The sequence below is a fragment of the Homo sapiens genome, chromosome 20 (genome assembly GCF_000001405.40).
Source record: "Homo sapiens chromosome 20, GRCh38.p14 Primary Assembly".
Lineage (NCBI taxonomy): Eukaryota > Metazoa > Chordata > Mammalia > Primates > Hominidae > Homo > Homo sapiens.
The window spans coordinates 46,582,928-46,606,203 of record NC_000020.11 but is presented as its reverse complement, the minus strand read 5'-3'; the positions used below and the strand labels follow the sequence as shown (position 1 = coordinate 46,606,203).

The 23,276-nt window shown below is 43.4% G+C and overlaps 1 protein-coding gene across 5 annotated transcripts in view, besides 3 other annotated features; it reads left to right on the top strand.

Annotated features, from left to right (window-relative positions):
• SLC13A3 (solute carrier family 13 member 3) overlaps nt 1-23,276 on the top strand; it is a 126,658-nt gene that overhangs the window by 78,282 nt on the left and 25,100 nt on the right. For 3 of the 5 annotated variants that reach the window (NM_001011554.3, NM_001193342.2, NM_022829.6), the window contains 6 exons: nt 6,167-6,233; nt 9,862-10,047; nt 13,675-13,800; nt 16,949-17,044; nt 18,041-18,145; nt 22,535-22,632. In NM_001011554.3, the coding sequence (NP_001011554.1) occupies nt 6,167-6,233; nt 9,862-10,047; nt 13,675-13,800; nt 16,949-17,044; nt 18,041-18,145; nt 22,535-22,632 (678 nt within the window). The remainder of the gene's footprint in view (nt 1-6,166; nt 6,234-9,861; nt 10,048-13,674; nt 13,801-16,948; nt 17,045-18,040; nt 18,146-22,534; nt 22,633-23,276) is intronic. The other 2 variants (NM_001193340.2, NM_001193339.2) reach the window with 2 other exon arrangements.
• Nucleotides 17,131-17,220: an enhancer, noted in NCBI's record as "active region_17977". NCBI's record gives its function as "activates an Ori minimal core promoter by ATAC-STARR-seq in GM12878 lymphoblastoid cells {active_cell/tissue: GM12878}" and the evidence as "EXISTENCE:reporter gene assay evidence [ECO:0000049][PMID:35858748]".
• Nucleotides 21,596-22,417: an enhancer, noted in NCBI's record as "OCT4-NANOG-H3K27ac hESC enhancer chr20:45212426-45213247 (GRCh37/hg19 assembly coordinates)". NCBI's record gives its function as "activates a minimal SCP1, AML or CMV promoter by ChIP-STARR-seq in primed H9 embryonic stem cells {active_cell/tissue: H9 hESC(primed)}" and the evidence as "EXISTENCE:reporter gene assay evidence [ECO:0000049][PMID:30033119]".
• Nucleotides 22,418-23,240: an enhancer, noted in NCBI's record as "OCT4-NANOG-H3K27ac hESC enhancer chr20:45211603-45212425 (GRCh37/hg19 assembly coordinates)". NCBI's record gives its function as "activates a minimal SCP1, AML or CMV promoter by ChIP-STARR-seq in primed H9 embryonic stem cells {active_cell/tissue: H9 hESC(primed)}" and the evidence as "EXISTENCE:reporter gene assay evidence [ECO:0000049][PMID:30033119]".

Here is a 23,276-nt window from a genome sequence, read left to right as displayed (position 1 = left end):
TACTTGAGCGGGATTGATTTGCTTCCTGGTTTATAATCTGTCTCCTCCACAGGTTCCAAGCTCCGTGAAGGGCCTATCAGTCTTTCTCATTGTTGTGAATCTTCACTGGTGCAGTCTTGTGCACCTAAGACACTGTTGGTACATAGTAGATGTTCAATAAATGTGTGGAATTAATGAATACACAAATAGACCATTGAACTAACTGTTCTATGTCTCAGTTTCCTCAAACCTAAAACAGGGATAATAATCCTTACTACTTAGGCTGACATGAGTGCTAAGTGAGTAAATGGATATAAACCTGCTTAACTTGGGGGCTTTTGACCTTCCCTGGATTGCCGTTTACCTAATTTGACACAAGAACTCTTTCCTGAGGGCCCTCTTCGTGTCAAATTTTAAGAACATCTTAGTCATACCAGGGAGGCTAGACTAGAGTTATCAGTTTCACGTCAGACCTGCTAAAGTGACAGGTGGGTGCCTTGGAGATGGACCGAGGTTCAGGGGATGGGAGATCCAAAGTTCTGGGTATAATCCTGACTCTGCCACTGACCCATTGGGTCCTCTTGATCCCAATTTAGCCCACCTCTCTAGGCCTCAGTTTCCCCAGTTGTGAAGAGGAAGGTAATAAACTTTGCATAGCTCTGTAAGGCTGCTTGGAGACAGCTGTAAGATTATAAATGTGAAAGTTCTCCATCCCCTGGCCTGACACAAACTCAAGGATTTGTATGATGTGAATAAGACCCTACAGAAGCATCAAGCTTCTAATCAACTGGCAATTTCTGGACCCAGAGAAGTCTCTCTGGGGACTTTGCTCCACTGGCCTGTTTCCATGTGGTCTCTTGGGCCACTGAGGTCACAGGAAGCACAGGGGTGGATCCTGTGTAAATGCCTAAGAGCTCTGCTCAGCACCAGGTTTTCCAGTTTCATCTTCATGACTTTATCATCATCATCATCAGAAAATAATGCCTGATATTAACTTTTCTTACATTACTAATCTCCATAAGGAAAAAGCAAAACTCCCTCCTTCCTGATCTTATATGATAAAGCTAATTACTGTTTAGAGTTCTGTGTGTACGAATACCCTTCACTGCCTTATTTATAGCACATACAATCTCTTATCAGGGCTCTTCAACTCAGATGCAGAGCAAACGGGGCCAGGCGAGGGCTGTGGCAAACTGGTGAGCTCAGTTTCCCTATCTGTAACCTCAGACAAGTTGCTGTCCACCCTGGCTGCATAAAGGAATCACCTGCACAGCACCCAGGTGGGAAGAGGGTAGAGCGAGCTAGCGATGGTGGGGACTGGGGGTCACCAAGTCAGAGTTCTTACTGTCTGGCCATCCCCTGGGGAGCAACTTTGCCCCCAACCTTAGTGTGCTATTAATAGTCCCTCGCTTCCTACTTCAGTGCCCTGGACCCTGGCCTCGTGCATGGCTTGTGGACCTGTTCCCAGCACTCGTGCTCAGGGGCCCTCATCCCTATGGCCCAGGGCAGCTGATTCAACTTTCATCTTCAGGCCCCTGCAGGGGGTCAACAGGGCCAGCTCCAGGCACAGGAAAAATGACACAGCCAGCCACCATGGAATCCTGTTCCCTCATGGTACCAACGGTGTACCACGAGAGCGGCCCGTGGTGTGGAAGGGACTTCCCCAAACCACGGGGCGAGACAAGGAATGTCCACATGGCTGTGTATGTGGCCTGACTTCCATGTGAAGGAAAATCCCATGTAAAAAAGAAAAAAAATCAAACTTTTTTTGTGTCTTGCTTGGGTTCCTTGAAGAGTGTCAATGGCCTTCACCAAAGACCCCAGGAATACCCTAGTAATGAAACAAGCTGAGTTATCATTTACTACAGCAGTGAGGGGGCGGGGCACACATGCCATGAGCTACCCTGATTATTTCAGGAAGGGGGTGTTAAAAGGAACCCAGGACAGGATCTGGACTGGAGGCTGGGCACTGAGAGAGACCAGAGGCAATTCTGAGCTGGGTAAGGAAGGAGCAGTCACTCATTTAGCAAGAGAGGGGGATGTTGGGATTTTGAGGGTGACACAGCCACCTTGCCCTTAGACAAGATGATGGAGAATGAAGTGACCAGGCTCTGAGTGTCAGAATCATTCCCTATGCTCTGTTTTCTTCTTTCTCTATGGTAACCCATATTTACTGAACATTTGCTAGTACTCAGCTTCCTGTTAAATTCTTTCTGTCTTTTTTTTTTTTTTTTGAGATGGCGTCTTGCTCTGTCACCCAAGATGGAGTGCAGTGGCATGATCACGGTTCACTGCAGCCTTGACCTCCCTAGATCAAGCAATCCTCCCACCTCAGCCTCTCAAGAGCTGGGACTACCCAGCTCTGTTGAAGTCTTTATATCAAGATTGACAAAGCATGGCCCTCCACATCCAGCCTACTGCTTGTTTTTTTACAGCCTGGGAGCTAAGAATAGTTTTCATATTTTTAAGTGATTGAAATAAATCAAAAGCAGAAAAATATTTTGTGACATGAAAAATTATATGATATTCAAATTTCAGCCCAGGCGTGGTAGTTCACTTCTGTAATCCCAGCACTTTGGGAGGCCGAGGTGAGAGGATCGCTTGAGCCCCAGAGTTAGAGACCAGCCTGGGCAACATAGCAAGACCTTCTTTTTTACCAAAAAAAAAAAAAAAAATACAACAATTAGCTGGGCATGGTGGCACATGCCTGTGGTCCCAGCTACTTGGGAGGCTGAGGTGGGAGGATCACTTGAGCCTGGTATGTCGAGGCTGTTGTGAGCTGTGATCGTGCCACTGCCCTCCAGCCTGGGCAACAGAACGAGATCCTATCTCAAAACAAAAATTTTTTTGATGTCCCCCAAATAAAAGTTTAGCCACACTCAAGCATTGATGTTGTCTGTGGCTGATTTTCTGCCCCTATGGCAGAGATGTTGTTATGACAGAGACCTCATGGCCCCCCAAAACCTAAAATGTTTACTATCTGGCTTTTTACAGAAGTTTGTTGATCCTTGCTTTTAATAAGTTAACTCTTTTTTTTTTTTGAGACGAAATTTTGCTCTTGTTGCCCAGGCTGGAGTGGTGTGCAATGGTGCTATCTCAGCTCACCGTAACCTCCACCTCCTGGGTTCAAGCAATTCTCCTGCCTCAGCCTCCTGAGTAGCTGGGATTACAGGCATGCGCCACCATGCCTGGCTAATTTTGTATTTTTAGTGGAGACGGGGTTTCTCCATGTTGGTCAGGCTGGTCTCAAACTCCCGACCTCAGGTGATCTGCCCACCTCGGCTTCCCAAAGTGCTGGGATTACAGGCGTGAGTCACCACACCTGGCAGTAGATTAACTCTTTAATCCTCTTAACAATCCTAGAATGGTTACTTCCATTTTATCATTAAAGAACTGAGGTATAGGGAGATTAAGGGATATACCCTAACCAGGGTTTCTCAACTTCATTACCAATGACATTTGGGTGGGATAATTCTTTGCTGGGGTGGGCTGACCTGTGTATTGCAGGATGTTTAGCAGCATTTCTGGTCTCTAACTAATAGACGCCAGTAGTACTTTGCCCTTCCACCCAAGCTGTGATAACCAAAAATGCCCCCAGACATTGCCCAACATCTCTTGGGTACAGAATTGGCCCTCGCTGGGAACTACTGACCTAAAGTCACATTGTAAGTGATGGAGCTAGGATTTGAACCCAAGGCTGATGTGTTTGGCTACCAGCCACACACCCAACTCCCAGAGGTGAGTTATTTTACTCTTGGTGGTGGTTCCAGCTGCAGGAACATTTAATTCATTCTAATTTTCTTTTCTCCAAAACACTGTCAAAGGCTGCTGGGGAGTCTGGTCTATCAAGCAGAGAAATAACTTTATTATTTTTGTGTGTTTGTTTTAAGAGACAAGGTCTTTCTCTGTCACCCAAGGTGGAGTGCAGTAGCATGATCATACCTCACTGCAGCCTCCAACTCCTGGGCTCAACAGATCCTCCACCTCAGCCTCTGGAGTGGTTGGGACTACAGGCATGCACCACCACACCCAGCTAATTTTTTGGAGAATGTTTTTTAGAGATGTGGTCTCACTATCTGGCTCAGGCTAGTTTCAAACTCTCGGCTCAAGCAATCCTCCTGCCTTAGCCTCCTGAGTAGCTGGGATTATAGGCATGAACCACCACACTTGACCAGAGAAATAACTTTAAAAACAAAGTTAGCTCCTGTCCTGAGCCTCCTCTGCTCAAATGCTACTCTAGTTCCTACCTGACTCAGAGGAGAAGCCACAGTCCTTCCTGTGAGCTCTGAGATCCCTGCATGATCCCACCCACTTCCTACCACCTCCACCCCCTGCCACTTCTCTTACCTTGCCTCCTCTTACTCTTCTCCTCCCTCTGGCCCCTGCAGCTCCACTGGCCTCCCCTTTGCTTCCTGGGTGTGCTCCCACCCCAGGGCCTTTGCACCTGCTCTTTCTTGCCCCAGATGTTTGCTTGGCTCATCCCCTCACCTTCAGGTCTTGGTTCAAAGTCAAATTTTCCTTCTCCATCAGACTTTCTTTGAGCCTTGAAGAAGGTGTCTCACCCCAGGATGCCTGGCTCCTTCCCTGCCTTGTTCTTTTGCATGGCATGCATCTTCATTTGACATACTGCGTATATTACTTAGTCGTGTGTGGTCTGTCTCCCCCACCAGAAGATCAGCTCCATGAGGACATGGACTTTCATCTTTTGTCACTCAGCACCAGGTACATGACAGGTGCTCCATAGCGATTTGCTGAGGGATCAGTTGGCTAGGGTTCATGTGCCCCAGTTTTGGCTCTGGGTTCCAAGTTGCACCAAGCTCTTATCTCAAAAGAACTGAAACACATCCACCACTTATTACTCTCAGGGTCTGTATGGTTACCAGCCAAATCCAGCCATCATCATCTTAGCTGGAAAATGCAACAGATCCAGAACTGGACTCTCAGCTTCCATTTTTGCCCCTTTCCCTACGTCCATTCTCTCGGACCAGGCCCAGAGTTGTTTATAAAATGTAAATCATATCGTCTTGGGCATTAAATCCTGCAGGGGGTCCCCTTCCCTGATTTAGTTCCCGTTGGCCTTTGCCCACTCCGTCCCCACCCCCATCTCCCCTAGGCCTTTCCTATACACCTCTTTCCCAGCACATGGGCTTCCTCAGTTCTTCATCTCAGCCAAGCACCTCCTTACTGCCGGGCCTTTGCACTTGCTGTTCCTGTTTCCTTGCACCCTTTTCCCAGGGCTCTTCATAGGATGGATTCCATTTTATCCTTGAGGTCTCAGACCCGAGGCCATCAGCACACAGTGTCTTCTCTGTTGAAGGGAGAGCCCACCTACTCCCCTCTCCACTTTCCAGTCACATTACCCAGTTCTATTTCCTCCATACATTTGTCCCTACCTAAAATTTTCTTTATTCATTTATTTCCTGCCTCCCCTTCTAGAGTATGACCTCCATGGAAGCCAGGGGCCTTGTTCTATATTGTTCACAGAGTACCCTGAGAACATAGTCAATAGCACATAGTAGGTGCTCAATAAATACTTTTTGGATGAATGAATGAATGGACAATTGGGGTCGTCCAACCCATTGATGACTCATTACCATTCATAGCTGGCCTTTCACAACTTTGGCAATGGCTGCTCAGGTAAGCCTAAGCTTGAGTTATGGGTTGTCAAGCAGCCCTGCAGCTAAACCCCTGCCAACAGGCCTGGGCACATCTTCACATATGGATGGTAGGACAGGAGGATAGAATGCTGAATGACCTTTCTTTTCTTTTTCCTTTCCTTTTCCTTCCTTCCTTCCTTCCTTTCCTTCCTTCCTTCCTCCTTTCTTTCTTTCTTTCCCTCCCTTTCCTTTCCCTTCCTTTTCTTTCCTTTCCTTTCTTTTCCTTTCCTTCCTTCCTTCCTTTCCTTCCTTCCCTCTTTCTTTCTTTCTTTCTTTCCCTCCCTTTCCTTTCCTTTCCTTTCCTTTCCTTCCTTCCTCCATCTCTCTCTCCCTCCCTCCCTCCCCCTCTCTCCCTTCCTCTCTCTCCCTTCCTCCCTCTCTTCCTCTCTCTCTCTGTCTTTGTCTTTTGATTCAGTGAGTAGTATAGGATCCTTGGCAAAGAAAGCATTCTTGACTGACTTCACAAGATTTGGGACACTCCTGTTCCATTCGCTACATTACATTAAAGACATCATGCTCTTTCCTCCTAGCTGCTGTGCGGAGAAACGGCCTACACACTGTGCCCACGGAGATGCAGTTTCTCGCCAGCACAGAAGCGTAAGTTACTGGTGAAATTCATAGAGGACCCAGTGCTTGATTCAAGGAGATGATGAACAAGAATTCAATGCTGCAAACCATTTTCCTCCCATCCCTGAATTTTTCTCCAAATGACCTAATGCCTGAGTTTCCACCATTCATCTCTGTGGCTTAAACATTAACCTCAACAGCCTCATTTAAAAAAAAATGCAGACATGGAAAGGGTAGGGCAGCACATTAAATCCCTAAAGATCTGGTGAGGTTGAGGATCACAGGTACTTTCCTCTTGAAAGAAGAGACCCAAAAAAGCAAGATAGCACAAACTGCATGACAGTCAAGGAGGAGAGGGTTGCAGGCAGGGTTAACAGTCCATACAGACAAAAAAATTCCTTATAAAACAATAACAGCCCTTCACCCTACATGACTTACAAAGCATCTTCACATTGATGTTGAAATCGCATTTAGTCTACAGTATCCTTTGCATTATGGCAGTGTAGTTAAGATCATGGGATTTGGAGTCACAAACACCTGACTTCGAACTCTGGCTCTGCTCCATACTGGCTGTGTGAGACAATGAGATAATGTAGACAGAGCAGGTTGGCTGGACCTTACACGTCCAGATGTTAGCACTTGTTATTATGACATTGTGATCTCAATTTAACAGTGATGACACAACAGGGAGCCAAGCGATCTGCTCAAGGCAGTGCTGGGCATTGATCCGGTCTATTTCATTCATTCACTAATATTTATTGGGAGCTTACGATGAGCCAGGCACTATTCTAAGGATGGAGATACAGCAAGGAAAAGACAGAAAGCCCAGCCCTTATGGGCTTACATTCTAGTGGCAAGAAATGGATAAGTGAATGTAATCCATGGTGTGTTGGGTGGTTGATAAGCTTCAGAGGGAGATCAAAGCAGGAAAAGGGTGGGGGAGGCGAGCTGGTAATTGGGAAGGGGCAGTTTGAATATGGGTGGTCAGGGAAGTCATCACAAGAAGATCGTCCTTGAGCAAATCTCTGCAAGAGGTGGGGAGTGGTGGGGGAATCCATGGGAAGAGTGTTCTCAGCGTGTGGACCAGCACGTGCAAAGCTCCTGAGAGGTCAAAGAACAGCCAGGAAGCCAGTGTGGCTGGAGCCGAGTGAATGAGTGAGCACATGGTAGGAGGTGGGGTCTGAGAGTTGGCTTCGGGGGGGAGAGAGTGATGGTGGAGGACAGAGCATGTGGGACATCATGAGCCATAGATATAACCTTGATTTTGAATGAGATGGGAGCTGATGGAGATTTTAGCAGGAGAGGGGCATGACCTTATGCCTGTTTCATCCCACAGCCTGTGCTCCCTCTTGGCACCATGTTTGGGGGCTTTGAGTCCAACTTTGAGACATGAGTTCTGTGATTGGTTCAGCCACTCATGACTGTGTGGCCTGGAAATATGCTTTAAACATCTGCCTGTGCAGTGCTTGCACTGGGTCTGTTGCAAAACCCAGTCCTCACCCTCTAGAAGCCTACATCTGTTGGATGCAAACCCCTTCCCTTCTCTGGGCCTCAGTTTCCTCACCTGAACAAAAAAGTGTTTGCTCTAGATAAACTCTAGGGCCCTTTCTGCTTTTTCTCTTTTCGATACTCAGGATGGTTAGGGTCCCCAGGTCTGAGGGAGGCCACAGTTCTGGACCAGGCCTGCCACTCCTAAGAAGTCAGACCATGACGGTAGTTTCCACCTGCTTCTGGTCTTTGCCTTCCTGTCATACTGGAAATCAGCTACTCAGACCCCAGCTCATGTCCACATTGCCCTCTGGGGAAGGAGTCCCTTATGTAGTGATTCAGGCCAGAGGGTATTTGAATTATCTTTCCTTCTTTAAGTAAATATTTTTTCATTTTAATTTCCACTTTAATTTAAAAAAATTGATTTGTTACACAGAACACTTTTTTAAAAATCTTAATTTATCTTTTTTTCAGATTCATTGAAGTATAATTGACAAATAAAAATTATATATATTTAAGATATACAATGTAATGTTTTGATATATGGGCACATTGTGAAATGACTACCACAGTCAAGCTCATTAACATATCTATCAGTGCTACAGCAATTCTCAGTTTCATTCGCTTAGAAACAATTTACAATTGCATATGTCAAAAAATACTCTTGAAATAAAAGATAAATGCATTTAACATCTCACTTCCAGAGGTAGATTATAACAGTTAAATGAATACCATTCTAGACTATTTCTTGACAGACAGCTGTATACATAGATGCATTTTTACCGCGGTGGCTTATGCCTGTAATCCCAGTACTTTGGGAGGCCAAGGCGGGCAGATTACCTGAGGTGAGGAGTTCGAGACCAGCCAGGCCAACATGGTGAAACCCTGTCTCTACTAAAAATACAAAAATTAGCTGGGCATGGTGGTGGGCACCTATAATCTCAGTTACTCGGGAGGCTGAGGCAGGAGAATCGCTTGAACCCGGGAGGCAGAGGTAGCAGTGAGCCGAGATCATGCCATTGCACTCTAGCCTGGGTGACAAGAGTGAAGCTCTGTCTCAAAAATGAAAAATAAAAATAAATAATAAAATAAAACATAAATTGATAATTCTATGTACGCTGTTTTGTAACCTGCTATTTCACATTTTTTTCTTCATTTCAGTCTGTTTCCAAATACCTATTTTATTTAATGGAGAATAGCGGACATCATTTCATCTCAATAATGCCAACATTATGATCTTTTACTTATGTACTTAGTAATTCTTAATTTCATTATTTCCCAAAACTCTTTAACTGTACAAGAAAAACAACCCAGAAAATAAAAAAGGAAAATAATATGTAATTCCACTCCTGGGAAAGGTATCAAAACAACTTGCATATATTTCTAGACTTTAAATATTCTTATATTCATGAAACATAGCCATTTCTTTATTTTTATTTATTACTTATTAATTTTTTTTAGAGACAGGGTCTCACTCTGTCACCCAGGCTGGAGGGCAGTGGGGCAATCAAAGTTCACTACAGCCTCAAACTTTTGGGCTCAATCAACCCTCCTGCCTCAGCCTCCCGAGTAGCTGGGACTATAGGTGCGTGCCACCATGCCCAGCTGATTTTTAAATTTTTTTTATAGAGATGGGATCTCACTATATTGCCCAGGCTGGTCTCAAACTCCTTTCCTCAAGCAATCCTTTTGCCTTGGTCTCCCAAAGTGTTGGAGTTACAGGAGTGAGCCACCACGCCCAGCTGCAACATAAGTATTTATAAAATAAAAAACTAAATAGTACTGTGACATGCCTTTTCACTATAGTTTATGACTGGACAGCTCTCATCTTAGTAAGCATCCATTTAATAGCTGCATTGGTGTTCCATTCAGGAAGAGAGTCATCTTTATTATCAGCCCCTTTTTGATGGGCATTTAGACTGTCCTTCATTTAAATTATATTTAATGGCATGGTGAATTCCCTTGTACCCACACCTGAGACACTTGTCTATTCCTTTAGGATACATTCTTAGAGTAGAACATCTGAGCTGAAGAGTTGCACCTTGTTACGGGTTTTTGATACCTGTGCCAAATTACCTTCTAGAAAGATCACTTAGCTCCCCAACTCCCAGGCAGTCTGTGGCCTGTTCTCCATGTATTCTGAATGGCTTCTCTTTGGATTTGTTTAAAGCAAAGACCACCCTGGGGAGACAGAGGTTCCACTGGATCTGCCGGCTGACTCCAGGAAGGAGGATGAATATCGTCGGAACATCTGGAAGGGCTTCCTCATCTCCATCCCCTACTCAGCCAGTATTGGGGGCACAGCCACACTCACGGGCACAGCCCCTAACCTCATCCTGCTTGGCCAGCTCAAGAGGTGAAAGCGAGAGTCCCCACCGGCGGGGAGGGTTCTGCTCCTCCCCTCCTCTTCCCTCCTTCATTCAACATCCAGGGAATGTGTATTGAGGGCCTTCTCTGGGCCAGGCTCTGGGAACACAGCAATGCACAAAATCCAGTGAGATCCCTGCCCTTGGGGAACTTCCATTCTGGCGGGAGAGACAGGCAATAAGTGAAAAAGCAAATGAATATAAAATATATCTGTGTGATAAGTTAGGAAAAAAATACAGCAGGGAAAGAGGGTAGAAGTGAGGAGAGTGGGGTGCTAGTTTATGTAGGTTGGTCAAGGACACCCGTTCTCTCTGATGGGCTGACATTTGAGCAGAGACCTAGAAGGGAATGAGCCATGTGGACACAGGAGGGAAAGGCATTGCCGACAGTGGGGAGTAGCTCCTACAGGGCTTGGAGGTGGAGCTGTTCCTGGGGAGGTTCAGGGACCAGCAAGAAAACCAGGGAGACGAAGAGCCTGGGGCGAAGGGAAGGTGAGAAGACAAAAGGTTATAGCGGTAAGTGTTGTCTAAGGACTCCAGCTTTTCCTCCAAGTGAGATGGGGGTCATTGGAAAGGTCACAGCAGAGGAGTGATCCAGCGGGAGGCATGGGTCTGTGGCCGTCATGGCCCAAGAGAAGCCTTCCAACCATAAGCAGGGTCCCCCAGTGGAGTGGGCTCTGCTGGGAGCTAAAGTCTCCCCACCCCTGGAAGTGGTCAGCAGTGACTGGGTGGCCGGTCAGGGCACGAGGATAAAAGAAAGATGTTCCTGCTTTATAACTTTTTAATAAACTTTCACTCCTGCTCTAAAAAAAAGAAAAGAAAAGAGAAAAGAGAAAAGAAAAGATGTTCCAACTGCACAACGTGCCGCTCCCATTATTCTAAACCTCTGGTTTCTAAGCTTTTAAAACTTCAGTATTTCAAGATTCTGTCTTTAAGACTTTTAGGTTCCAGGATTCCGAGGCAGGGTTTCTAAGATTCCTTGCAGTGGAGATGTAGCATAGGTTCATTTGATTTACATAAATGCAAATGTAAGCATTTGGCCAACAAAGGACACCAAATAGTATTTGATATTCAACGTGGCTGCAAATACTAGCTGACTTCTTTACCTGTTGGCCAACCAAAGAATCAAAAACCTGTGGGGATGAATAAAGGGAGGCCCTGCTGATCTCCCCGAGAGAGGTTTGCTATGTGTGCAACCCTCAGTAACATACATGTGAGTCATTATAGGTATTTTCACAAGAGATTTTAGTACACCCATGTTTGGCCACATGTGCTGATTTTAAAACCTTAACCCCTGAGTGAGATGAATTGCCAATACATTCTCAGCTTCCAAAATGCTTTGATTTTAAGATTTGATGATGGAAACCAGTGATTGTCAACCATGCACTGGGAGAGGTGAAAAAAAAAAAAAAGAAGTTGTGGGTGTATTTCACCAATTGATTTAAGCCCACTGAGTTTTACTGCAAACCTTAGATGTCTTTTTATCACTATCCTTTAAACAAGGCTGGCTGTGCCTTCTGGTTTTAGCTCAGTGACAGAAAAACCAGAAGCAAAGATGGTCCTGCTTCAGGTGTGGGGAGGATCTAGGCTCAGCCCTTTAGCGTTCTGCCAAGGGGGAAGGTAGGCATTTGGTATGAGGGTTTGCCAGGACCCATCCCCAGGGCTGGACAGGAAGATGTGGGCTCTGGGGATGGAGAGCAGAGCCTAGGTTGGGGATGGAGAGAATTGGAGGGGAGCAGTTGTTGTCAAAGCGTTTACAGGCTGCCTGCCTGCCCTGATGTGAGTAGGACTTTGTTCCAACCTGAAATGAAATTGGGGAAATTATATTTTTTATATGTCTATTTCATATTTATATTTTCTAAAATATATCTTATGTATGTTTAAGTATGTAATATATATTATATTAACATATAATACATAAAATATATAATATTAACATATATACAGTAAAAATATCAAATGTGGGATTTCAAGTAAATTTCATGCAAATCTTATGCAACACAAGGGCTCAAATGCAGACCCTCTGGTGTAGGAAGAGGGGATTTAAAAGGAATGCTAGGTAATATGTGATTTTGATTCTCCAGCTGAGAACAGGAGAAGCCTGGGGAGAGGAGAAGTGATTGCCCTGAGTGGTCCTTTGGCCCTTGTTGCCAAAATACATTTTATTGGTTTATTCTGATTATAAAATGATATTGGCACACTAAAGAACATTTGGAAAATGTAGAAAAAGAAGTTTGAAATACCTCCAATCCCACTGTCGATATTTTAACAGACTTTCTTCTAGACTTTTCTATGTCCATATATTAAATGTGTATATATTTAACGTTTTTGCCACTATGCTCTTAATACAGTTTTATAGTCTGATTTTATTATTAAAATTTTTTAGAAAACATAATTTTTAGTGACTATGTATTGTCTTATTTTGGGTGTACATGCTTTAATCATAAGCATTGATTGTTTTCATTTTATAATAATTATTATTTTGCTATTACAAATTATGTAACTGACCACACACTTGCTGATATTTTAATATTTTTAAAACAATATTTTTATTTTGTCTAATTATAGAGGTATACTTATTCATTGTAGAAAATACAGGTAGAGAAAAAGGAGGAAATAAAAACCTCTTAGAATCCCACTATATAGAGTTTATTAATATTTTTGTTTGCTTATTTGTTATACAATAACTGTTAAGGTTTTGGTTTATTATTTACCTAGAAATGTCCGTGAGTATCCACATACTTTTGTATACATCATTCTATAACTTACTTTTCCTCTTTTCAATCTAGCACTTATATTCCTGACCACATTTCTGGTTGTTTTTTTAAAGTTTATTTCTAGTAGTAGAATTTCTGGGTAAAAGGATATGCACATTTTTAAGACTCTTACTGCATTTTACCAAATTCCTCTCCAGAAAAGAATATTCTGACGAACAAACATCAAGAATCTGCCTGTTTTTCCACATCTTCACCAGCACTGAGTGTTATTGCCCTTCATCTTTTCAGGCTTGATGATGTCTTAATAAAACTGAGATTGGACACCGTTCAGCAGAGAAAGAACTCATCGACATCACCATTGCCTGGACAAAATGCCCAGGGTCTTTGAGCATATGTAATAAGGAGGGCAAAGGTTTCAGCCTGCAGATGTGTTATATGTGACTCCCACATTCATTAAAACATTTTCATGAATTGTCAACATTTAAACATCACATAATTTCAAGTAAAACCCAAACCTGGGCTTACTGGCCCTGCACTCTTGCATGGCAACCATGGGGAAGCAAATAGCAGCTGAGCCCTTTAATGAGCAGGGCTCTCTTCAATTCACCATGGCCCAGCCTGGCCTGTTTCACTCACTCAGGTACCTGTCTGGCCTCCAGGGGGCAGAGATTTTGACTGTAGGGCACCCATTGGTCCCACTAGGTCAGAAGCCAGCAGCCTCCAAAGAAGAGGAAAAAAGGGTGCTTCTATTAGAATTGGTGGAAAACACTGTTCCCAAGACTTCCATGGGACCCTCTCATTCCTCCTCCCCGCTGCTACTAGTACTGCCTGGTCCCCTCTCCCACTCCCAAAATGGGCATGGCTGCCCTTGGCCTGTTCTCATCTCCCGCTGTTCTCCAGTTTCTTTCCGCAGTGTGACGTGGTGAATTTCGGCTCCTGGTTCATTTTCGCCTTCCCTCTTATGCTGTTGTTCCTGTTGGCAGGCTGGCTCTGGATCTCCTTCCTGTACGGGGGACTGAGCTTCAGGTACCTCTCATTTTCTTTTTGGCAATAGAGTGGGGAAGCAGGGAATGGCGTTTCTAACCTCAGTATCTGCCTATGAAAACTGAGGATGATTGTTATTTCATGTTGTATTCTCATTTCTTTCTTTTATGTATGTATGTATGTAGGTATGTATATATGTATGTATGTATGTATGTATGTATGCATTTAGTTTTACAGACAGGGTCTTGCTCTGCTGCCCAGGCTGGAGTGCAGTGGTGCGATCATAGCACATTGCAGCCTCAATCTCCCAGGTTCAGTGTTCCTCTGGCCTCAGCCTCCCAAGTAGCTGAGACTACAGGCAAGTGCCACTGTGCCTGGTTAAATTTTTTTTTTTAATTTTTTGTAGAGACAGAGTCTCACTATATTGCCCAGGCTTGTCTCAAACTTCTGGCCTCAAGTGATCCTTCTTGTCTTGGCCTCTCAAAGCTCTGGGGTTATAGGTGTGAGCCACCGTGCTAGCCATATCCTCATTTCTTGACCTCCCAGGGATGTGAGGATTAAGTGAGAGGTGTGACCTGCCTGCCACACACAGACCCTCTGTTGATGTCACATATTATTCATAATTATTAATAGTATTGTCTTTAAATAAGGTAAACACTCTTGACCAGAGAAGAGGGGAGTGCACGATTTCCCATTTTATGGGGCCCTGATACAGAAGATAATTTGGGGTGGCATGAGGACAAAATACTAAATAACACCAAATCATATTATGGGAAATATGTCTTTATCAACTCTCATCACTCAGTCTACTTACGTTGAGGAGAAAGTCTCAGTTGGGTGCTAAAGAAACCTTAATATCTAACATTTCCAAATCAACCTCTAAACGAAGAAAGAGCAAGCTTCAGACCCAGAGACTTGAGCCAGAAATGATAACTAGCCAAAATATAATACTGGCACTTTGTTTTCCTATATTTATTTTGCTTACTTCAATTACTTTTTAATATGGCTACCTTAATTTGGATAGGCAATACATACATATGCTTCTCAAAAATCAAAACAGCGCTAAGAGGTATGCAGTGAGAACCCCTCTTCCCAACCATGGGCCTCTTCTGCCACGATATCCTCCCAAACAAGCATCCACTTTTATTGGTTTCTTGTGTAACCTTCCAGAGTTTTCTTAAGCAAATATGAGCAGACATAGATATCTTTTTCTAGTGACTGGCCTCCGTGACAGATTTTTGTTTGTTTGTTTATTTATTTATTTATTTATTTATTTATTTAGACAAAGTCTCATTCTGTCACCCAGGCTGGAGTGCAGTGGCACCATGTCGGAGTGCAACCTCCACCTCCCAGGTTCAGGCCATTCTCCTGCCTCAGCCTCCAGAGTAGCTGGGACTACAGGCTCTTGCCACCTTGCCCAGCTAATTTTTTGTGCCTTTTTTTTTTTTTGGTAGAGAGAGGGGTTTACTCTGTTGGCCAGGCTGGTCTCAAACCTCAAGTGATCCACCCACCTCGGCCCCCCAAACAGCTGGGATTACAGGCATGAGCCACCCAAGCCCAGCTGTTTTTTAATTTTTATTTTATTATTTTTTTCTCTTTTACCTTGCAGCTGTAGCTCAAAGGAAGCAAGCATTTTTATAAGATACATTTCCAGAAGTGGGATTTCTGGATCAGAGAATAAACACATTTTTATTTTAATAGATATTATCAAATCATTCTTCATAAAAATCGTACATGTTTCCTCTCCCATGAACAATGTATGAGAGTGTCTGCTTCCTTGCAGCAAAGTGGATTTTTGCCAATCTGATAAGAGAAAAATAACTTGTGTTTATTTTATGAACAGTAATTTTGGGCAACTTTTCATAGGTTTGGAAGCATATGAAAAGTTTGTTCATAGGTATTTTCTTTCCTGTGAATTGTGAAACTGTGTGTTCATATTTTTATACATTTTTTTCAAATGGGTTTTTGGTCTTGTTCTTACTAGTTTCTGGTATGCTTTATATTTTAGAAAGATGAGTGCTTATTCTACAATAGAAGCTACATTTTTTTTCCTGATTTGTCTTTTGGCTTTGCTTATGGTGCTTTTCTCCCTGCAGAATTGTTTTAATTTTTTTTTCAATCTTTTCTCATATGGTTTCTGAAATTTCAGTTACAGTTTAGAAAGGTTTTCCTAATACAGGACTTATAAAAGAATAATCATATGTTTTCTTCTAGTATTATTATTTTTTTTTACATTTAAACCTCTAATCTATTTGGAGTTCATCCTTATGGTACAGTGTGAAGTTTGGATTCAACTTCACTTTTTTTTGTCCCAAATGGTCACCCAGTGTCCTAACACCATTTATGGACACACAACATTTTACTATTTTGATGAAGTCAAATTTATCTATCTTTGATGGCTTGTGTTTTTGACGTAATATTGAAGAAACTGTTGCCTATTCCAAGGGCATGAAAATTTACCACTGCCCTTTCTTCTGAGAGGTTTATGGTTTTAACTCTAACCATATTATTCCAAGGCACATGAAAATTTACCCCTGCCTTTTCTTCTGAGAGTGTTATGGCTTTAGCTCTAACATTTAGGTCTTCAATCCATTTTGGGTTTAATTTTGTATTTGGTGTGAGGTAGGGGTCCAGATTCATTCTTTTCCACATGGCTGTCCAGTTTTCCTAGCACCATTTGTTGAAAGGCTATTCCTTCCCCCACTATTCAGTCTTGGTACGCCTGTCAAAAATCAACTGGCCATAGATGGATGGGTTTATTTCTGGGCTCTCAACTCTGTTCCATTGATCTATATGTCTGATACCATTTACTGAATAGCCCATCTTTTCCACACCAATCTGAGATAGCAATTTTATTATAGACTAAATTCCCATTTGTGATTGAGTCTGTGTCTAGACTTTCTGTTTTGTTCCATTGATTCCTGTGTTTATTCATGTGCCTGTTTGACCCACTCATGGATTTTAAGCCTGGAAGTCATATCATCAGATTCACATTTTCAAAGATCAACCAGGCTATACGTGGGGAGAACAACTGTAGCAAAGGAAGACAGTTGCAGGGAGACAAGCTATCAGGCAGTTGCAGCCTCCCGGACAGAGAGGATGTGGCTTGGTCAGGTGGTGGTGCTTGTTGTAGGTGAGAAGTTAGTTATACCTGCAGTGGCCACTCCTAATCTCCCACTTTCTGTTTCAGGGGCTGGAGGAAGAATAAATCTGAGATAAGAACCAATGCAGAAGATAGGGCTCGAGCTGTAATTCGGGAAGAATACCAGAACCTGGGGCCCATCAAGTATGTGGGGGCCCTTGGGTTAAGGAAAGAGCTGAGTATTAAACGCTCAGGAGAGCTTCCTCCTGGCCTGGCCTTGGGCCCATGGGGGCTGAGCTCCAGGGGAATTCCAGGACCCGTGGCGTGGGAGCCTAGAGATGGAGGATGGGAGGTGGTTTACACAGTCAACCTCTTGCCGTGGTGCTGGGGTAGAAACCTGAGGACCAAAAAGCCCCTCAGAGTGTACTTACAGTGGGATCTGCTACCTTCCACCCAAGGCACCGTTTCCCTCCCGGTACGCAGAATACCTGACACTATCTCAGGTGACTTCCGGGACCTTGTTTAATGCACATTTCCATATGGTGAAAATAACGGGTTCAGTAGGCCTGTGTTCAAGGACCAGCTGTGCCACTCATGTCCTGTGTGGCTTTGGTCATGGCACTAACCCTCTCTGGGCCCTGCTCTCCAGTCTGTGAAATGGGTACATTGGGTAACTGTCTCCTCCAACTCTTGGGGATCCTCTCTTTCCACCTTCATCCACCCTCTCTCCAGGTCTGTCCCCTCTCTGTGTCTTCTCCTTTCGGTGTAGACAGACTGTGTGTTTTTCTGTCTCTCTCTCTCTCTGTATGAATGCTCCTCTTTCTCTTTGCCTACTGCATTTCTGTCTGTTTCTCTTCCTCTCTGCTTTTCGGACTCTGTCTCTGTTTCTCACTTTCTTGATTTTCCGTAGGACCCTGGTAAACTCCTGGTGATAATGAAACACGCGATTTCGGGGAGGGGGTGGCTTGAGGCTCAGGAAGGATCCTGAGGGATCGTGGAAGTCCTAGGACAGGAATCATTTACAGTCCATTGGCACCCCTCCCCTCACTCTGGGCACTCCCTGGGGAGTGGATGACTTCAGCTTTCTCAGAGGCAGAGCCCGGGCCCAGTCACTCCCAGTGGGCAGCTGCCTGAGCCTGTGCCTGCTGCGGTCTGCCTGAAACCCGGGGTCACCATCATGCCTGCATGTCTGTGCCACAGGTTTGCCGAACAGGCTGTTTTCATCCTTTTCTGCATGTTTGCCATCCTCCTCTTCACCCGGGACCCGAAGTTCATCCCTGGCTGGGCCAGCCTCTTCAATCCTGGGTGAGACTCTGGGGACCCACAGGGAGGAGTCCAACAGGGAGGATTCTGGGCTGGGCCACCTGGAGCTGGAGAGGCGGCAGTGCAGCTGGGGAGACACGCATCCAAGTTTCCATCTTTTGTCCCATATGATTATTAATAGGTCCCTCTTTCACTCTCAAAAGAGTTTAGGTTTGGGTGATAAAATATGACTTCTCATGTGTTGGGAGCTCTGGATTTGGAGTCAGACTAAACTGGGTTAGAATTCTAGCTCTGCCACTTACGAGCTGTGTGACTGAGCAAATCGTTCATTCATTCAATCAACATTGATTGAGAACCTATTATGTGCTAAGCTGGATGCTGGATGCTGGGACACAGACAAAAGCAAGTAGTTAGACAACAAAACAACTGCATTGCAATGAGTGCTATGAAGGAAAGACTGAGAGGGTTATGCTATAAAATAATAGAGCAGGGGCATTGACTTTGGACAGTTCTGGGAAGAGCCAAAGCTTAGGAAGACTGCAGATGAAAGCAGTGGAGATGCCCTGGGAATGTCTACTGAAGCCTGAGTCAGAACAAACGTAGCATGTTTGAGAAAATGAGAAAAGCCCAGTGGGAGCGAGGCCTGGTGGGAAGGAAGGAAAGCGGGTGAGGAAAGGTAGGGGAGGGCCAGATCAGAGTGTCTTTTCGGGCATGTTATGCATTTTGGTTTGTTTTTTTTCTGTGAGCAGTGGGCAGCCATTGGAGGGTTGTAAGGTACTCAACCTCTCTGTGCCTCAGTTTCCTAATCTGTAAAATGATATTATACTAGTACGTTTTTCATTGACTTGTTGTAAAGGTAAATGAGTTAATACATGTCAAGTGATTAAAATGGCTCATAAAAAGAACTCAATAGTTGTTAGCTATATTCATTAGGAAATGGGTAGTGGGGGCAAAAATATAGACGAGGAGAATAGTTAGGAGCTATAACATCATCTAGATGGCCCGTGTCTTTTTGGGCCAAATCTGGCCCGCCATTTGATTTTGAATGATTTTTACATTTTTTAAATGGCTGCGGAAAAATCAAAAGACAACGTCTTGTAATACACGAAAATTATATGAAATTCAAATTTCAGTGTCTGCAAATAAAGTTTTATTGACACACAGCCACACCTATTCAATTACATATTGTCTATGGCTGCTTTCATACTCCAATGTCAAATGTGAGTCCAGACAAACACCATGTGGCCTGCAAAGCCAAAATACTTACTGTGTGGCTTTTTACAGGAGACATTTGCTGACCCCTGGTCTGGGGGATGGCTTGAGTGAGGGTGGTAGCAATGGCAATGTAGCAGTCAAGATATCATTCAAAGTTAAATGTGGGACTTGTGCTGGGTTGGATTGGGGGGTGTGAATGAAAGGAGTACCTGCATGGATGGTGGTTAATTGGAGAAGAATATTTTTTAGGGGGCTGGGAATGGCTTATTCATAATTCTATTTTGGACTTGGTTTAGACTTGTCAAGCTCAATAGGCAGTTAGATATGCAAGACTGGAGCTTAGAGGAGATGTTTAGGTTGCAGACATAAATCTGGGAGTCATTGTATAAATTTGGGAGTTAAATCCGTAGGAATCAATGGGCTCAGCTATGGAAAGTGTTTAAGTAGAGTATAGACCATGAGGAACCCCAGCACTTGGGAGCTGGGGAAAGGAAAATGAATTTACCAGAGAAACAGAGAGATGGTGAGTGAGGTAGAAGGAAAACTTAGAGCTATGGACCAGCAAAAGCCAAGAGAGGGGAGTGTTTTAAGAAGCGTGAGTGGGCACTGTGTCAAATTCTGGTGTGAGTGGGAACATGATTAAATAGAGATGTATCTGCTGGATTTGGTGAAATCTGATTATTTCAGTTAGCCCCATCCAAGAGAGATATAATGTGAGCCACATATGTATTTTAAATTTTTTGGTAGCTATATTAAAAAAGTGAAAAACAGATGAAACTAATATGAATAATATATTTTATGTATAAATTATTAGTGAGATATTTTGCATTCTTTTTTTCATGTGAAATCATCAAAATCTGGTGTGTGCTTTACATTTAAAGCACATGTCAGTTTGGTCTTGCCACATTTCAAGTGCCCACTAGCCCACATGTGGCTTGTGGCTACCATACTGGGCAGTGCACAATCCAGATATCTCACCTTCTGGGCCTCAACCTCTTCCCTGGTAAAATGGGTGACATAAATTCTGATCTCCTGAAGGTTGTTATAAGCAAGAAACAATATAATTTCATGAAGCCATGAAGCTCTTGTTGCTCTTACCATTTTTTTATTTTTCTAAAATGTAGATGCTTTATTTTTTTCAGATGCAAAATGGGCATTATAAGCATTTCAACAATACAGAAAATGTGAAGATCAGCTAAATCTCAGTCTCTAATTCTGATATACATCTTTCCTGACTTTTAAACAATGCCTATCTGAGAACTGTTCTACATTGTGATCACGCTGTTATCGGACTGCATACATTTGTCAAGACTTGTTAAACTATACCCTTAAAATGGGTGCATTTTATTGCATGTTAATTATACCTCAATGAAACATATGCCAATTGGCTTTTAGAACCCTATTAAAAGAAGATTTTTTTAACAGAAATGTGATCACGTCAACATATTATTTGTAATCCGCTTTTTAATTTTGTATTGAATTTCAAAAGTTATGCATACTCATAAAAATTCAAACAATGCTGAATTGAAAAAGGAAAAGTTAGTGGCTCTTTATCCACTTTATGTCCCACTGCCCAGAGATCATCACCATGAGCAGTTTGGTGTATGACATTCCAGATACGCACACATATCTTCATACATACACACATACAAATATGTATACATATAACAAAAGACTGTAAAATATAATAATATGATCATGGACAACTTGCCATTTGGACTTACTCCATTCTTTTTTTTTAATTTTATTTTCTTGGACTCAGGTCACAAATTTATTCTTTTAAAACACTGCATAGTACTCTACAGAATGGGAGCACTTTGATTTATTTAACCAATTCCTTATTGGATTGTGTTCAATGCTTCAAATCAAAACTTTCAAAATAAAATTTACAGGGTGTCTTGGTTGTGTTTCTATGTCAATACATAGATTGACGTTATCTTTTATCTTTTTTTAAACAGATGCAGTGTACTTCATAATATGAATGGAACACAATTTCTTTAAACATGTGTCTATCAAAAATCTTCCAATTTTTTTTTACTCTTATCAGTAATGAACATCGTTGCACATAATCTGTGTACAAAAGTACGACTGTTTCTCAAGGTTAAATTCCTAGAAGGAGGATAACTGGATCAAAGGGTATTTACATGTAAAATTGGAAACATGTTGCCAAATGCCCCAGGAGGTTAAACTGGTTTATTCTTTCACTAAGGGCATATGTTCCCAACACCCTCACCAGTTTTACTCTCCTTTTCAAGTCTTGCCTGTTGGCAAATGAATGGTATACCATTAGTGTTTTGATCTGCATTTCTCTGATGATAGTGATATTGACCATCTCTTCCAACTTCTTGTCTGTTTGAATACTCTCCTTTCCAAATGTGTGAGTGGAAAGAGCTTTGGTTAGCAGTGAGCTCTAGGCTTTGTTGAACTTGGAGCCAGAACAATCTGAGTTTCAGGCCAGGGTCTACAGAATGGGAGCACTTCAATTTATTTAACCAATTCCTTATTGAATTGTGTCCAATGCTGCAAATAAAAACTTTAAAAATACAATTTACAGGGTATCTTGGTTGTATTTGTATGTCAGTTTAACAAAATGACTTGCTCAGGGTCTGCCCTTGAACAAGTTGTTTCTGCTCTTTGACCCTCTGATTCTCCACCTGAAATGGAAAGTGCCTGCCCCGAGGGCTTAATGTGCGCAAAACTCCCCTAAAGGACACATTGTGGATGCTTGAAACGTGACAGTTAGGTTTTGAGGGGCCAAGAGGCTGGGTCAATCTGGGTTCCACTGGTGTGAGTGGGCTGTATCTCAATGCAGTGAGCTGCCCATCCCAGGAGGGATTCAAGCACAAGCTGAACAAAGACAGGGCTCTTACAGGAGTCCCGGTGAGGGTGATTTATAGGGGTTCCAAGGACTCCAATATTCTGCGGCCCTCGGATTCTCCCCTCTTTGGTCAAGTCCCTCTTCGTAGGGTCCTTGAGTTGGGAAGATAAGCATTTGCTTGAGCCCAAGCAGCATCTAAATGCCCCCAGGGAGCTGTGAATGAAGAGCTTTGCACCATGCTGAGCGCACTGAAGGACAGAATCCAGTGGCCCAGCCTCCAACAATGGCCCCTTCACAGCAGGCCTAATTCCCTTCCACAAATCCTCCTTTACAATTCTGCCAAACCTCGGCCCGCTGAGATGCCCATGGTCACGTGATTTGGGGCCTTCTCATTGTAGGTTTCTTTCTGATGCTGTCACCGGCGTGGCTATTGTCACCATCTTGTTCTTCTTCCCGTCCCAAAGGCCCTCTCTCAAGTGGTGGTTTGACTTCAAAGGTAAGGTGGTCAAGGCTGGGGTCTCGGTGGGCTCAGTGAGGACTGCGGCATGGAGTGTGGTCATCAAGGGCCTGGAGCCCCCCACTGCACTAACCACGTGGTCCTTCCTGCTTCTCCTTTCACTGTCTGAGCCATTGCCTTGTCTGGGGACTGAGGGCTGCCCCAGGTGGTAGTCCAGGACAGGGGTTAGCAACTACAGTCTTCAGACCAAATCCAGCCTGCTATCTGTTTTTGAACAGCCTGTGAGCTAAGCACAGTTTTCAGATTTTTAAATGGTTGAAAAAAAAACCAAAAGAAAAACATTTTACTACATGTGAAAGTTACATGAAATCTAAATTTCAGTGTCCATGTATCAAATTTTGCTTTCCCCTAAGGAATTTGTGGAAATTTATTTTCTTTAGTTATATAAGTACCTACACAATAGCCTCAATTTTGCCTCTTGGCCCACAAAAGCAAAAAATGTTTATTTTTCTTGTCCTTTGCAGAAAAATGACCCCTTGGCCCAAAGCAGGAGTTGCACCTTGGTTGCCCAGGGAGCCACACATGGAAAACACAAGCTGGGTTTCAACCGTATAGGAAGTGTTGGGGACTGAGGAAAAACTGCCTAAAGGCATTCAGATTCCATTTTTAAAAAATCACTGAGT